Source organism: Homo sapiens, chromosome 16, assembly GCF_000001405.40.
Source record: "Homo sapiens chromosome 16, GRCh38.p14 Primary Assembly".
Taxonomy (NCBI): Eukaryota; Metazoa; Chordata; class Mammalia; order Primates; family Hominidae; genus Homo; species Homo sapiens.
The window spans coordinates 31,744,037-31,761,772 of NC_000016.10; the positions used below are offsets into that span (position 1 = coordinate 31,744,037).

Consider the following 17,736-nt stretch of genomic DNA (forward strand, 5'->3'; position numbering starts at 1 on the left):
GTTTTCTAAATATAAAATTATGTCATCTGCAAACAGAGACAAATTGACTTCCTCTCTTCCTATTTGAATACCCTTTATTTCTTTCTCTTGCCTGATTGCCCTGGCCAGAACTTTCAATACTGTGTTGAATAGGAGTGGTGAGAAATGGCATTCTTGTCTTGTACTAATTTTCAAAGGGAATACTTCCAGCTTTTGCTCATTCAATATGATATTGGCTATGAGTTTGTCATAAATAGCTCTTATTATTTTCAGATATGTTCCATCAATACCTAGTTTATTGAGAGTTTTTAACATGAAGGAATGATAAATTTTATCAAAGGCCTTTTCTGTATCTATTGAGATAATCATGTGGTTTTTGTCTTTGGTTCTGTTTATATGACGGATTACGTTTATTGATTTGCATATATTGAACCAACCTCACATCCCAGGGATGAATCCAACTTGATCGTGGTGGATAAGTTTTTTGATGTGCTGCTGGATTCAGTTTGCTAGTATTTTATTGAGGGTTTTCACATCAATGTTCATTGGGGTATTAGCCTGAAGTTTTCTTTTTTTGTTGTCTCTCTTCCCAGTTTTGGTACCAGGATGATGCTGGCTTCATAAACTGAGTTATTGAGGAGTCCCTCCTTTTCAATTGTTTGGAATAGTTTCAGAAGGAATGTTACCAGCTCCTCATTGTACTTCTGGTAGAATTCGGCTGTGAATCCATCTGGTCCTGGGCATTTTTTGGTTGGTAGGCTATTATTGCCTCAATTTCAGAACTTGTTATTAGTCTATTCAGGGATTCGACTTCTTCCTGGTTTAGTATTGGGAGGGTAGGGTGTATGTGTCCAGGAATTTATCCATTTCTTCTGGATTTTCTAGTTTACTTGTGTAGAGATATTTATGGTATTCTCTGGTGGTAGTTTGTGTTTCTGTGAGGTCAGTGGTGGTATCCCCTTTATCACTTTTTATTGTGTCTATTTGATTCTTTTCTCTTCTTTATTAGTCTAGCTAGTGGTCAATCTATTTTGTTAGCTTTTTCAAAAAACTAGCTCCTTGGTTCATTTATTTTTTGGAGGGTTTTTCATGTCTCTATCTCCTTCAAGTCTGCTCTGATCTTGGTTATTTCTTGTCTTCTGCTAACTCTTGGATTAGTTTGCTCTTGCCTCTCTAGCTCTTTTAATTGTAATGTTAGGGTGTTGATTTGAGATTTTTCTAGCTTTCTGTTGTGGGCATTTAGTGCTATAAATTTCCCTCTTAACACTGCTTTACCTGCATCCCAGAGATTCTGGTATGTTGTCTCTTTGTTCTCATTGGTGTCAAAGAACTTCTTGATTTCTGCCTTAATTTCATTATTTTCCCAGGAATCATGCAGGAGCAGGTTCTTCAATTTCCATGTAATTGTATGGTTTTGAGTGAGTTTCTTAATGGTGATTTCTAATTTGGTTGCTGTGTGGTCTGTGAGACTGTTTGTTATGATTTCAGTTATTTTGTATTTGCTGAAGAGTGTTATACTTCCAATTATGTGGTTGATTTTAGAATAAGTGCCATCTGGCACCGAGAAGAATGTATATTCTGTTGATTTGGAATGGAGAGTTCTGTAGATGTCTATTAGGTCCACTTGATCCAGGGCTGAGTTTAAGTCTTGAATATCCTTGTTAATTTTCTGTCTTGTTGATCTGTCTAATATTGACAGTGGAGTGTTAAAGTCTTCCACTGTTATTGTATGGGAGTCTACGTCTCTGTAAGTCTCTAAGAACTTGTTTTATGAATATGGGTGTTCCTGTATTGGGTGCATATATATTTAGAATAGTTAGCTCTTCTTGTTGAGTTGTTCCCTTTACCATTATGTAATACTCTTCTTTGCTTGTTTTGATATTTGTTGGTTTAAAGTCTATTTTGTCAGAAACTAGGATTGCAACCCCTGCTTTTTTTTTTCTTTCCATTTGCTTGGTAAATTTTCCTTTATCCCTTTATTTAGAGCCTATATGTGTCTTTGCACATGAGATGGGTGTCCTGACAGCAAACCAATTGGTCTTGACTCTTTATCCAATTTGCAAGTCTGTGTCTTTTAATTGAGACATTTAGCCCATTTATATTTAAGGTTAGTATCGTTATGTGTGAATTTGATCCCGTCATCATGATGCTATTTGGCTGTTTTGTGCACTAGTTGATGTGGTTTCTTCACAGTGTCATTAGTCTTTATGTTTTTGTGTTTTTCCAGTGGCTGGTACCAGTTTTTCCTTTCCATTTTTAGTACTTCTTTCAGTAGCTCTTGCAAGGCAGGCATGGTGGTAATGAAATCCCTCAGCATTTGCTTGTCTGGAAAAGATTTTATTTCTCCTTCGCTTTTGTAGCTTAGTTTGGCTGGATATGAAATTCTGGGTTGAAAATTCTTTTCTTTAAGAATGTTGAATATTGGCCCCCAGTCTCTTCTGACTTACAGAATTTCTGCTGAGAGGCCTACTGTTAGTCTGATAGATTTCCCTTTTTAGGTGACCTGGCCTTTCTTTCTGGCTGCCCTTAACATTGTTTCCTTCATTTCGACCTTGGAGAATCTGATGAGTATGTGTCTTGGGGTTAATGTTCTCATGGAGTATCTTAGTAGTGGTCTCTGTATTTCCTGAATTTGCATAGTGGCCTGACTTCTAGGTTAGGGAAGTTCACCTGGATAATATCCTGAATTATGTTTTCCAGCTTGTTTCCATTCTCCTCATGTTTTTCAGGTACTCCAATCAATCGTAGGTTCAGTCTTTTTGTGAAGTCACGTATTTCTTGGAGGCTTTGTTCATTCCTTTTTATTATTTTTTTCTCTAGTCTTGTCTGCATGCCTTATTTCAGCCAGGTGGTCTTCAAATGCTGATGTCCTTTCTTCTGCCTGGTTCGTTTGGCCATTGATACTTGTGTGTGCTTCATGAAGTTCTCATGCTGTGTTTCTCAGCTCCATCAGGTCATTTATGTTTCTGTTTTTTTTTTTAATTATTATTATACTTTAAGTTTTAGGGTACATGTGCACAATGTGCAGGTTTGTTACACATGTATACATGTGCCATGCTGGTGTGCTGCACCCATTAACTCGTCATTTAGCATTAGGTATATCTCTTAATGCTATCCCTACCCCCTCCCCCCACCCCACAACAGGCCCCAGTGTGTGATGTTCCCCTTCCTGTGTCCATGTGTTCTCATTGTTCAATTCCCACCTATGAGTGAGAACATGTGGTGTTTGGTTTTTTGTCCTTGCGATAGTTTGCTGAGATGATGGTTTCCAGCTTCATCCATGTCCCTACAAAGGACATGAACTCATCCTTTTTTATGGCTGCATAGTATTCCATGGTGTATATGTGCCACATTTTCTTAATCCAGTCTATCATTGTTGGACATTTGGGTTGGTTTCAAGTCTTTGCTATTGTGAATGCTGCCGCAATAAACATACATGTGCATGTGTCTTTATAGAAGCATGATTTATAATTCTTTGGGTATATACCCAGTAATGGGATGGCTGGATCAAATGGTATTTCTAGTTCTAGATCCCTGAGGAATCGCCACACCGACTTCCACAATGGTTGAACTAGTTTACAGTCCCACCAACAGTGTAAAAGTGTTCCTATTTCTCCACATCCTCTCCAGCACCTGTTGTTTCCTGACTTTTTAATGATCGCCATTGTAACTGGTGTGAGATGGTATCTCATTGTGGTTTTGATTTGCATTTCTCTGATGGCCAGTGATGATGCGCATTTCTTCGTGTGGCTTTTGGCTGCATAAATGTCTTCTTTTGAGAAGTGTCTGTTCATGTCCTTTGCCCACTTTTTGATGGGGTTGTTTGTTTTTTTCTTGTAAACTTGTTTGAGTTCATTGTAGATTCTGGATATTAGCCCTTTGTCAGATGAGTAGATTGCAAAAATTTTCTCCCATTCTGGATGTTGCCTCTTCCCTCCGATGGTAGTTTCTTCTGCTGTGCAGAAGCTCTTTAGTTTAATTAGATCCCATTTGTCAATTTTGTCTTTTGTTGCCATTGCTTTTGGTGTTTTAGACATGAAGTCCTCGCCCATGCCTATGTCCTGAATGGTAATGCCTAGGTTTTCTTCTAGGGTTTTTATGGTTTTAGGTCTAACATGTAAGTCTTTAATCCATCTTGAATTAATTTTTGTATAAGGTGTAAGGAAGGGATCCAGTTTCAGCTTTCTACATATGGCTAGCCAGCTTTCCCAGCACCATTTATTAAATAGGGAATCCTTTCCCCATTTCTAGTTTTTGTCAGGTTTGTCAAAGATCAGATAGTTGTAGATATGCGGCATTATTTCTGAGGGCTCTGTTCTGTTCCATTGGTCTATATCTCTGTTTGGTACCAGAACCATGCTGTTTTGGTTACCGTAGCCTTGTAGTATAGTTTGAAGTCAGGTAGCGTGATGCCTCCAGCTTTGTTCTTTTGGCTTATGTTCCTCTCTAAACTGTTTATTCTAGTTAGCAGCTCCTCTAACCTTTTATGAAGGTTTTTAGCTTTTTTGCATTGAGTTAGAACATGTTCCTTTAGCTCAGTGTAGTTTTTTATTACCCATCTTGTGAGGCCTACTTCTGTCAATTCTTCCGTCTCATCTTCTGTCCAGTTCTATGCCCTTGATGGAGAGATCTTGCAATCATTTGGAGAAGAGGCACTCTGGCTTTTGGGTTTTCAGCTTTTTTTAGTTGATTCTTTCTCATCTCTGTGAGTTTGTCTAGTTTTGATCTTTAAGGCTGCTGACCCTTGGATGGGGTTTTTGTGGGAGTTTTTGTTGTTGTTGATGCTGTTGTTGTTGCTTTCTGTTTGTTTTTCTTGCAATGGTCAGGTCCCACTCTGAACTCCGGGGGGCACCAACCTGATGCCAGTAGGATTGCCCTTGTATAGGGTGTCTGACAACCCCTGTTGAGGGTCTCACCCTGTTGGGTGGCACATGGAATAGGACCCATTTAATGAAGCACTTTGTCCCTTGGTGGAGGTAGTGTGCTTTGCTGGGGAAAAACCCACTTGTCTGGGCTGCCTGGATTCCTCAGAACTACCAGGAGGAAAGGCTAAGTCTGTTGGTCCACAGAGACTGTTGTCACCCCTCTCGCTAGGGGCTCAGGCCCAGTGAGATCTGGGTTCTTTCCCTGAACCTCTGGCTGGAGTTAATGGAGTTCCTGCAGGGAAGCTGTGCACAGTGAGAAAGGATGGCCTGGGTCAGGCCTGAAGAGGCACTCTGGCTGCAGTCTGCCACAGCCAGTGTGTTGGGTTGTCAGGGACACATCTTGGGACCAAGCCATGCAGCCTCCCTGACTCCAGAAGGGGAAAAGCACAGCCTGGAGCTATAGAGGTGGATGTTGCCCTTCCCTCACCCTGGGAGCTTAGCATGTTATGCAGTTGTGAGCCCCAGTGCTGGCTACTGCCCCTCTGCCAAGGAGCTCAAATGGCTTAGACAGCAGGCAGATGCAGCTGTGGTGCTTGTCGCCCCTCCCTGCAGGTGCTCTGTAGGCTTAAGCAGATTCCAGCTGAGAGGCTGTTGAGAATCTGTGCAGCCACAGGGTTGGGATGCTAAGACTCAGTGGCATGAGTTCACGAATGGGATCTTCCGATCCGTGGGTTGCACAGTTCCCTGGAAGAAGCATGGTTTTCCTGGCTGAGTAGCACACTCACACACTGACTCCTCTGGCTGGCAGGACAGGGCTCTCCTCCCCTGTGTGGCTCTCAAAGCCACACCACACTGTTATTACTTTCTCTGTGGATCATGCCAGCCTCCTAGTCAGTTCTGATGGGAGAATCTGGATACCTTGGTTGCTGGTGAAAGATTCACACACTTATTATTGTTCTTTTCGATGGGAGCCTCCGAACGCTACTGTTTCTAGTCAGCTGTATTGGCCCCGCCCCTGTGTGTATTTTTATGCCAGTACCATGCTGTTTTGGTGACTGTAGGCTTATAGTATAGTTTGAAGTTGGATAATGTGAAGCCTTTGGTTTTGTTCTTTTGTTTAGGATTGCTTTGGCTATTTGGACTCTTACTTAGTTCCATATGAATTTTAGAATAGTTTTTTTCTAATTCTGTGAAAAATGACGTTGGTAGTTTGATAGGAATAGTGTGGAATCTCTGGATTGCTTTGGGCAGTATGGCCATTTTAATGATGTTGATTCTTTGAGCATGGAATGTTTTTCCAGTTGTTTGTGTTGTCTATCATTTTTTTCAACAGTGTTTTATAGTTCCTCTTGTAGAGATCTTTAACCTCATTGGTTAGATCTATTCCTAGGTATTCGGTTTTTTCTTTGTGTGTGTGGCTATTGTAAATGGAATTATGTTCTTGATTTGGCACTCAGCTTGCATGTTATTGGTGTATAGAAATGCTACTGAGTTTTGTACTTTGATTTTGTATCTTAAAACTTTACTGGAGTTCCTTATCAGTTTCAGGAGCCTTTTGGCACAGTCTTTCCAGGTGTAGAATCATATGAGCAGAGATGATGTTACTTTCTTCTTTTCCTCTTTGGATGCCTTTTATTTCATTCTCTTGACTGATCTTTCTGGCTAGTACTTCCATTACTATGTTGAATAGAAGTGGTGAGAGAGGGTGTTCTTCTCTCATTCTTGTTTTTAAGGGGAATGCCTCCAGCTTTTGCTTTGTCAGTGTGTTGGCTGTGGGTTTCTCATAGATGGCTCTCATTTAGAGGTATGTTTCTTCAATGCTTAGTTTGTTGAGGGGTTTTTTTTTTATCATTAAGGGATATTAAGTTTTATCAAAAGCTTATCTCATATATATTGAAATGGTGATTTTTTTTGGAGCTGGAGTCCCACTCTATCCCCCAGGCTGGAGTGCTCACTGCAACCTCCGCCTCCTGGGTTCAAATTATTCTCATGCCTCAGTCGCCAGAGTACCTGTGACTACAGGAATGTGCCATCACACCCAGCTAATTTTTGTATTTTTAGTAGAGACAGGGTTTCGCCATGTTGGCCAAGCTGGTCTCGAACTCCTGGCCTCAGGTGATCCACCGGCCTCGGCCTTCCAGAGTGCTGGGATTACAGGTGTGAGCCACTGCGCCTAGCTTTTAAATTTTGATTCTATATGGTGAATCACATTTTTAAATTTCTATATGTTAGACTAACCTTGCATTCTAGGAATAAAGCCTAGCTAATTGTGGTAAATTAACTTTGAGTATGCTGCTGGATTTGGCTTGCTACTATTTTGTTGAAGATTTTTGTGTCTATGTTCATTAGAGATATTGTCCTGTAGTTTTATTTGTTCATTGTGTCTTTGCCAGATTTTGGTAACAGAGTGATGTTGGCCTCATAGAATGAAAGGGGAGGAGTCCCTTCTTATATTTTGGAATAGTTTAGTAGAACTGATACCAGCTCTTCCTTGTACTTCTGATATAATTCAGCTGTGAATCCATCTTGTCCAGGGCTTTTTTGGTTGGTAAATTTTTTATTACTGATTCAGTATCAGAACTTGATACTGGTTTGTTCAGGGTTTCAGTTTCTTCCCTATTCAATCTTTGGAAATTTTGTGTTTCTAGGAATTTATCCATTTCCTCTAGATGTTCTAATTTATGTGCATAGAAGTCTCTGAGAATCTTTTGTATACCTGTGGGATCGATTGCAATGTCCCCTTTGTTGTTTCTGATTGTGCTTATCTGGATCTTCTGTTTTTCTTTGTTAACCTAGCTAGTGGTCTATCAATCTCGTTTACCCTTTCAAAGAACCAACTTTTGGTTTTGCTGATGCTTTGTATGGAATTTGGGGTCTCAATTAATTCAGTTATCTGATTTTAGTTATTTCTATTCTTCTACATTTGTGCTCAGCTTATTTTTCTTTTTCTAGTTTCTTTACAAGTGATGTTATATCATTAATTTGAGATCTGACTTCTTGAAATAGGCATTTCGTGTTATAAGCTTCTTTTAATGTGGCTTTAGCTGTGTCCCAAAGATTTTGGTATGTGTTTTCTCTGTTTTCACTTATTTCAAAGAACTTTTAAATTTCTGCCTTGATATCATTGTTTACTCAAAAGTTGTTGAGGAGCCAGTTGTTTAATTTCTATGCATTTCTGTGGTTTTGAGAGATCTTCTTGGTATTGTTTTCTGTTTTTATTCTATTTTAGTCCAAAAGTATGACTGGTATGATTTTTTTCTTTTTAATTTATTGAGACTTGCTTTCTGGCTGAGTGTATAGGGTCAATCTTCAAGTATGTCCTGTGTGCATATGAAGGATGTATGTGTTCTGTGGTTGATGGGTGGAATATTCTGTAGATGTCTATTAGGTCCAGTTGGTCTATTCTGTAGATGCCTATTAGGTTATGTGGAATTGATGTCTAAAATTTCTTTGTGAATTTTCTGCCTCAGGGATCTAATGATGTCCATGGGATGTTGAAATACCTCACTGTTATTATGTGACTAATTCTTTTCTCAGGACTAGAAGCACTTGTTTTATGAATCTCGGTGCTCCGAAGTTTGGTGCATAGGTGTTTAGCATGTGTAGGTATTCTTGTTGAATTGAACCCTTTATCATTATGGAATACATCCTTGTGCTTTTGTATGGTTGTTGGGTTAATATTCTCATTTCTTAAAGAAGTCACAAAATGCCAGGTTCAGTTGCTGGTTTCATCCCAGCACTTTGAGAATCTGAGGCTATAGTATTCCTTGAGGCCAGGAATTTTTGACCAGCCTAAATGACCTAGCAAGACCCTGGTTGTACAAAGAACTTAAAAAATTATTCAGATGTGATGGTGTGTTTTTGTAGTCATAGCCACTTGGGGAAGTGAGGTAGGGTGACTGCTTTAGGCCAGGAATTCGAGGTTCCAGTGAGCTATGATTGTACTCTGGCCTGGTGACAGTGCAAGACCTTGTCTATAAGACAAAGATAGATATTTTAAATTATTTTAAAATTAGTTAATAGATTTCTACTTCTCTAGCTTCACTTGGATATTAATATGTTAGTTAATAGATTTCTGCTTCTTTAGATTCACTTTCATTTTGGTCCCTTTATTGAGCCATGTGTTTTGGTTACTTTGATGTCTTGTGATTTTGTTGATATTTTGATCAAGTAAGAGACAGCTACCTATTCCATCTATTATGGAATGAATTTGTACATGTGAAAACTGATACCCATCAGGTACTCTAGTCATTCTGGGAGATTCTTCATACTGTTGTCAGGATGTTTCTTCTCTGGACTACTGTGTGTATTTTCCTATTAAAAAGGTTTGCTTTTTTCTTTTTCTCTTAGGAGCCTTTAATCTCCCCCTTTGTTGAGTGTCATAGGCACTACTGTCTCTCTGTTCTTGTAACAAGCATTCATGTTTGTTCTCAGTTGACCCGACATATCATTTCAACTATATCACCATTTTCTTCAGCACCACATATTAAAGGAAGCAATGGCCAGTCTTTAGATAGCCCCAGAATAACCCAGAACTTTGGACATATGTTTTGCTCCTTTTATTTTTCTTTCCTGAGAGCGAAACAGAATGCGAAAAATTTTTGTGTAACTGCACTGTGCTGTGGTGCACAAATACAACAAACTTTCTTCCTTCTATATGTGACCATTCTTGGCTTTGTGTTCACCTAGGTGCTGCAAACTCACCTGGCTTTAGTCACCCTATTACATTTAAGTTCATATATCAATTGAGAAAACAAAGGGGCCTCAAGTTTTTGATTCAACTATCATGGTGTTCTCAACGTGATATAATTTGTGTATTAGATTTATAAAGTATTTTCACCTGAATTTAGTAATTGGAATTTTGAAAACTTTTGGTATCTTTCAGATATCTTTTCTCATGATACTCAAGGCCTCTTAAGAAAGAAGCTTATAGAAGCATCATTCCAAAAAGTGATATTGGATGGATATGGGAGCTGTGGCCCTCAGAATTTAAACTTAAGGAAAGAGTGGGAAAGTGAGGGTAAGTGTGAAGGTCACAATGGATATTATGATGGACATACAAAATGTAAGACAACTACCTATAACAAAAACCTCACTGTTACAGGAGGTCAAAAACATGAAAAAACTCAATTTATGTCAGTTGCTTTTTCTAAACCATGTGTTTCTGTAAGTAAGTGTCAACATCAATTTTTGAAACTTACCTTTTCTTTTAAAGGAAATTTGGATAATCCGAATAGTGACTTAGTCCATGTTTCAAATAATCATTTAAACCAATTAAAATATAGAACTGGAGTAAATGTTCAGTCAAATATTTCTGAAAAGGAGAGATTTAAAAACGAGGAGGTGATTTCTAAATATGATCAATTTGATGGATCTTTGTTAAAAGTTTGTTTCACCAACAAATAACACCTCGTTCTGCCTGTGATCAATATAGAAAGGTCTTCATTCATTCATCATTGCTTAATCAATGTCAAGGAATAGATAATTTGGGAAAATATCACACACATAATAAAACTTTGACAGCCTTTAGGCAGGACTATACCCTAAATAATTACCAGTATATTTGTGTTGCAGAGAAAAATCAGTACAATAAATCTGATACAACATTAAGCCAAGGCATAAGCCCCAGAAGACATCAGAAAACTCATTTTCTACATAACCATTGCAAACGTAAAAAATGTGAGAAAGCCTTTCATGAATGCACCAACCATGTCCATCAGAGTATCTTTATTCAAGAGAAGTCTGCCAAATGTAATAAGTGTATAGAAACTTTTATCCAGTCATCAAAACATACTCAGCCTCAGAGAATCCATATTGGAGAAAAGTCACACAGATGTAATAATGGTGAGAAAATCCTTAGTAAATTGTCAAGTCTAAGAAAACATAAGATAATCCATAATGAAGAGAAACCTTACAAATGTAAAGAATGTGACAAAGCCTTTAACCATCGTTCACACCTTACTCAACATCAAATAATTCATACTGGAGAGAAACCATACAAATGTAAAGAATGTGGCAAAGCCTTCAATTCTAGTTCATATTTTACTAGACATCAGAGAATTCACACTGGAGAAAAACTTTACAAATGTAAAGCGTGTAGCAAATGTTTTACTCATTCTTCAAATCTTCTTGTGCATCAGAGAATTCATACTGGAGAGAAACCTTACAAATGTAAAGAATGTGGTAAATCATTTAAAGTGTCTTCAGCCCTTACTCAGCATGAGAGAATTCATACTGGAGAGAAACCCTATAAATGTAAGGAATGCAGCAAAGCCTTTAACTGTAGGTCGTACCTAACTAAACATCAGAGAATTCATACCGGAGAAAAACTTTACAAATGTAAATCATGTAGCAAATCTTTTTCTCGTTCCTCAAGTCTTATTGTCCACCAGAGAATTCATACTGGAGAAAAACCCTATAAATGCAAAGAATGTGGCAAAGCCTTTAATTGTAGTTCACGCCTTACTCAACATCAAAGAATTCATACCGGAGAGAAACCCTACATATGTAAAGAATGTGGCAAAGCCTTTAACTGTAGTTCATCCCTTACTAAACATCAGAGAATTCATACTGGAGTAAAACTTTACAAATGTAAAGCATGTAGCAAATCTTTCTCTCATTCCTCATGTCTTTCTGTGCATCAGATAACTCATACTGGAATGAAACCATATATATGTAAGGATTGTGGCATCTCCTTTAACCGGTCTTCAAACCTTAGACGACATCAGATGATTCATACTGGAGAGAAACCCTACAAATGTAAAGAATGTGGCAAATTATTTAATCGATGCTCAACCCTTACTCGACATAAAAGTATTCATACTAGAGAATTTCTATAGTTGTAGTAAATGTGAAAAGAGTTTTATCCAAAATTTAGAACTTAAAAATCACCATAGAGTTTATAGGGAAACCGACTTTACAGATTGAATAAATGGGAGGAAGTATTTAATCAGAACTCAAATCTGAATGTGTCAGGACTTACACAAAAAAGGACTAAAGCACAGATCCCCACTTTAAAATTAAATAAGAGTATTTGTTATGGAGGATTACTCTAAAGCCAAAGCAGTTACTTATTTTGTTATGTGTTTCAAATGAGCAAAAGCATTGATGTTTGGACAAGTAATTATTCAGTGAGCATGTTATTTGTATTGAAAACATTTGAAATTTGTATAAAGCAAATCATAATTTAATTCTCAGATTAGTTGTTATACCTTAATGCCTAGTGTTTATATAAAAACATATAGTCTATTTTTTCTGCATCAGAGCTGTAAGAGGTCGTTCTATAGTAGGTGAACATCATTAATATCAACTTATTTTCTTGGAAATTTAATGGCAAATGTAAAATACATGAAGAAAATCTAAAAGAGGCTCTTTGTGTTTGAATCATTAAACAGTAATATGTGTAAACATATAGTACATATTTAGGGCATTAGTATTCTATACTAAAGTAAAAGAGGAATATTCTGAATTTATTTATTACATCAATTGCTCCTTAAGTAGAAAAACACTGGTCAGTTATTTAAAATACTGGCATACCTTTATAGTACAATGAAGTAGTAATCTTGAATATTATTTGATGTGTTAAAAATAAAAACATCTTCACAGATATCAGAGAAAAGTGAAAACTCATATCTGAAAGATTATAAATATACTTTATATCAATTTTCCAGAGAACTTAAACTTCTAATAATATTGGTAATATTCTCATGGTTACTATTTTATATTCTTTCCTGCTTTTTGTAGCTACTGGTGTACTATGACAGTTATAATAAAGATTATATGGGGGTATACTTAAATGCCATACTTTTAAAATCCTGAATCATTGTTTATAAAGTTTTATTCAATATTTTTCTTTGCACATGCCCTTTTTCAGTCCAATTGAACACTTAGAGATTTTTCTTTGCTTTCACTTGCATTAAATGGAATATACAGATGTACTAAGATAGAAAGAAAAAGGTGAAAGAGAACTATACAGGCAGAAATGCATGTGTGTGTACCTGTCTTCAAATGGAAAAGAAAATGATGGATCACAACAGGAAACTGGAGAACTGTTGATTTATTACAGTTCTCAAATTAGAAACCTCCCAAATTCTTAAAGCTAAATTAGCTTTTCATTGCACACTGAATTTTTCTCTGATAAATCTAATGTCTTCTGGGTTCAGACTTTATCCCGTACAAATCCTTTTTTCTTGCCTGTGATTCATGTGAGAAGAATTATATAATTTTCTTATTTCAAAGCTTATAAACTATTACTTATAAGTTCTCATGGATTTTAAGAATGTTTTTGTAAAATTTAATGGTGCTGTCCAGGTGTGGTGGCTCACGCCGGTAATCCCAGCATTTCGGGAGGCTGAGGCAGGAGGATCATTTGAGGTCAGGAGTTTGAGACCAGCCTGGCCAACATGGTGATATCTCGTCTCTACTGAAAATACAAAAATTAGCTGGATGTGGTGGCACACACCTGTAATCCCAGTTACTCAGGAGGCAAAGGCAGGAGAGTTGCTTGAACTGAGGAGATGAAGGTTACAGTGAGCCAAGTTTGTGCCTCACACTCCAGCCTGGGTAACAGAGTGAGACTCTGTCTATAAACAAACAAATTATCTGTCATCTACCTATAGACATAACCCTACTGAGGAGGATGGGGATAAAAGGTCTGCATCTAAGTCACTTTGAAAAACAGTATTTTGATTGAATGCTGTAAGACTACACAAATGCTGTATTCTACTGAGTAATATTTTATTTTCCTACAAGGATATGCATTAGCAATTCTGAAACAGTTTTACATGTTATTATATAATATATGGAGGCTGTTTCTCAGTGTAGTTCACAAAAGTTAAATGGTGAATGCTAGCATGAATCTTGTGGTCCTAGCCCAAAGTTGGAAATATCAGGATGAACCCATGACTAATACATCTGGATGGATGGATGGATGAATAGATATAAAGATAGGTAGGTAGGTAGGTAGGTAGGTAGATAGATAGATAGATAGATAGATAGATAGATAGATAGATAGATGAAGCGATGTCTAAGATATCTGGAAGGATGGATGGATGGATGGATGGATAGTTAGATAGATAGATAGATAGATAGATACATAGATAGACGATTCAGAGATAGATAATGTTCCAAACTCTTGAGGGCCAAGAACTGGTGACATCTTGTATCAACACATCTAGGTCTACAATCTTGGTTTCTAAACAACATTCATTAAAAGGACCCAAGGGTTGAAGTTAGAAAATACAAGTTGAGCTAGAGTATCTTGTAAAGCCACAAAGAAAAAAGTGCTTAATAAAAATGATGGGGACTTTTCAAAGGGAGCCAACCTGAAAGACCTCCCAATGGTCCAAGCTCCAACAATATGAGCAATAAGTTATGATAGCTTTGGATTATGGCCCACAGAATAAAGTAATACTCATCTCTACTGTGTGAATAAAAGAGATTAAATAAGGAAAGAAGGAATGAAATCTACAATATTTAAAATACAGATCAATGTAGTTGGATAATGCAAAATAAATCAACACTAGAACATCACAGTAATAATTACCATAGGGAAGATTCCCCGAGGAATTCAAAAATTTCAGGAAAAACTTAAACACTAAAGAGTGTATTTGGGCCAGTCTCGGTGGCACATGCCTGTAATCCTAGCACTTTGGGAGGCCTCTGCGGGTGGATCACCTGAGGTCAGGAGTTCAAGACCAGCCTAGCCAACATGGTGAAACCCCGTCTCTATTAAAAATGAAAAAATTAGTCGGGCATGGTGGTGGGTACCTATAATCCCAGCTACTTGGGAGGCTGAAGCAGGAGAGTCACTTGAACCTGGGAAGCAGAAGTTGTTTTGAGCCAAGATCATGCCATTGCACTCCAGCCTGGGCGACAAGAGCAGAACTCTGTCTCAAAAAAAAAAAAAGAAAAGAAAAGTGTATTTGCATATTTTAAGTATCTACCATCTAATATTTATTAATACAATTTTTTCTTAATTTCTTAGACTTGTGACTATTTGAAACAAATTATAACACTGTATTGTAGGATTTATAATTTGTAGTTGTAAAATTTATAACACATGGAATAAGAAGATAAATGGAACTGTTCTGTAGCAAATTTTTCATGTTTTATATTTAAGACAGTATAGTATTAACTCTAAAAGTATGGTGGATATGTTAAAGATTCATATTGTATTCCCTGCAGCAACCACTAAAAAATGCAAAGAAGTGTAATGTAAATGCTAAAAAAGGAGATAATTATAAAATATTTATTTGCACAATATTTATGTATCTTTTAGTCATAATAGCCCAAAACAGGAAACAACCAAAATGTCCATTAATAAGAAAATGAACTAATTGTATAGCTTTTAGAACAAAATACAGCTCAGGAATATGAAAAACCAAGCACACATCCTGGATAAAATTCATAAACCTGCTCAATGAGAGAAAAGTTGGACACAAAATTGTACTTTATGTATTTTGTATTTTATTCCAGGCAAAATAATCCTATGGTGAAAAAAATCAACAAGATAATCTCTGCTTGAGAAAAAGGACCAAAGACAAGTGAATTTTCTGAGGGTGATGAAAGTGTTGCTTCGAAAAGGGGTGAAGTTTATATGGGTCTATTTATTTGTCTAACATGTACAGTTAAGGTTTATGCCTTGCAATGTATGTACATCTTCACAAAAAAAATCTTAAAAAAATTAAATGGGTGGGGGTAGGGAAAGGGTTGAAGTATAGATGAAGCAGAAGTGGTACATGATTAGTAGTTGAAGCTGGGGGCAGGTCTATATATTTTATTTTTATGTCTTTAATAGCATTTGTATAAATGTACAATATTCGTTTACAATGTTAGCTCAGGATCTTGTTTACCTTTGGACAGGGAGGGAGGGAGAAATTTATTTTCTGGGTAGGAGTAAAGCTGGTTCTATTCCTCAGTTATGTAAATTATCTGTTATAATCCAAAAAGCTTTACATGAATGTTTCTGTATGTAATGTGGTATATCAATAAAAAATTAAATATTACATATTTGCACCAGAATCCTAACTCACTATCTCAGAATGTTAGCAGCATTTTCTTTTGTTGTAAAGTGGAACACAATCTCATGGCATTAGCAGATGGGTTTGAATATTCTAAAGTATCAACGTCCTAATCTCATGGGCACCTCTTGGGTCTTTCCATTTTTGCCTTCATTTGCTAAGTGGCATGCTTTTGATTTTTTGAGATGAAACTTTTTCCCAGCAAAGTCTTTTCCCCACAGTGATGCTCTGAAAGCCAGGACACCTAGCACAGGACCCTGGGCATAGTATGCACTCAGTACATGTGGAGCATGTTGATCAGGAACAAAAGGAGTAGCAAAGGTCAGTTCCTGCAAAGGTGAGTAGATAATACAGGTATGACTGAAAGGCTGCAACTCAGGAGTAAACATTTTACATTCATTCAAGAGACAATTTGCAACTAGTACACCAAAAAATTTTGGCTTGAAGCAGTACTTTGGGGACTTGGCTAAACTCTGTAATCACTTGGAGAACTTTAAACAATACTGACGTCTGGGCCCTACTCCAGGGATTTTGATTTTATTGGTCTGTTGCAATTTAGGTTTTGGGAATTGTAGGGCCTCCGCATGTGACTGTAATGTGGAGCCAGGGGTGAGACCCACTGTTTCAGGGTGAGGGATGCATTAGCTGTGTGTGATTTCCATGTGTGCTGCAAGTATTTAACCTATGACCACTCCTGCATTTGGAGTCTTGGAAATTGCAGCAGGAGGAAATGTCTCTCTACAGATCTATTTTTTATGTCACTTGCTTTTAGAGTAAGAGGTTATTTCAGGCACAGTAATTTGATTTAATCTGTTTTCAAATACTAAATCTGAAAATACTAAAATGAAAAGAATTTGCAAATGTGAGAATTTGCAAACATGTGGAGTGTGTTCTTATGTGCTTTCCAGTTTCTCTGATGATAAGAAATGAGTAATGTTGGGCCTTGATTTCCTAAACTCAGCCCTCAGTCACTTTCTCAAATTATTTGAAGACCTTCCAAGTTGCTTCAGAAGCATTGTCCAAAGGAGATTATTCCCAGTAGTGAAGAATAATAGATGGATGAGAATGTCTAAGGAATCCTACTTCTGTCGCAGAAGTGGCACTCTCCAGAACCTCAAGGGCCCATGGAGTTCATGGGCTTTGGAGTCAGGCAGAGTTGACCCTGAGTCCCATCCCAGCCTCTTAATAGACTAGTTACTTGACTTGGAACAGTTATGCAAGACAAAGCACAATGATACTGATTGCAGTAATGGGAACAATTCATTCCTCTCTGTATCCATGCCCTTTGCAATGCATGTTTTTAGCTACTCCCATGGAGGGAAAGATTCTGTTTTTCCAGTCCTTGGATCTGACTGGCCTTATTTGCTGTGGCCAATTCATACTTACTGTTCTAGTGAAACAATTAGGCATGTTTTGCTCCTCATTCTAGACTTTAATTAAAATTAAAATTTTATGATATTTTATTTCTACTGTATTTTGCTGTATTCATTCTGCTCAGTATTCTAGTTCACCGGTCCTCTTATCTCTGTTTAATTTAGTGGTGAACCTATACATTGTCTGGTAACTTAATTTTGTATTTTCGTATTCTATTGGGCTGTCGTTCAAATGTGGCTTTTAAACTTCAGTTACTTGTTCTTTCTACAAAAATAAACATTGATTTTCTACTTTTCATTGTATTCATTTAAACATTTTAAATATAATTCCAATGTGCAAAACTGTTGCATATTTTTTCTTCAGAAATTTCTTCCTTGTTATGTCACTCAGTTTTTCCTTTGGTTCTCACTTTTGGGAGATACCATATTTGAGGTGTCTATAGTCATATTATTTCCAGTGTTTCTTTCATTTTCCCTGGGAACAAGATGAAAAACACA

The 17,736-nt window shown here is 37.1% G+C and overlaps 1 protein-coding gene across 18 annotated transcripts in view; it reads left to right on the forward strand.

The window, feature by feature from the left end:
- Window positions 1–17,529, forward strand: part of KRABD5 (KRAB domain containing 5) — a 48,322-nt gene extending 30,793 nt beyond the window's left edge. For 9 of the 18 annotated variants that reach the window (NR_172085.1, NM_001394177.1, NM_001394180.1 and 6 more), the window contains 2 exons: window positions 9,730–9,864; window positions 10,419–15,850. Coding sequence is in view for 16 of the 18 variants with exons in the window: in NM_001394177.1 (NP_001381106.1) it covers window positions 9,730–9,864; window positions 10,419–11,683 (1,400 nt within the window). In the remaining 2 variants the exon portion in view is untranslated. Of the gene's footprint in view, window positions 1–9,729 lie in introns of all 18 variants that reach the window. The other 9 variants (NM_001394183.1, NM_001394181.1, NM_001394184.1 and 6 more) reach the window with 4 other exon arrangements.
- The last annotated feature ends 207 nt before the right edge of the window (window positions 17,530–17,736 follow it).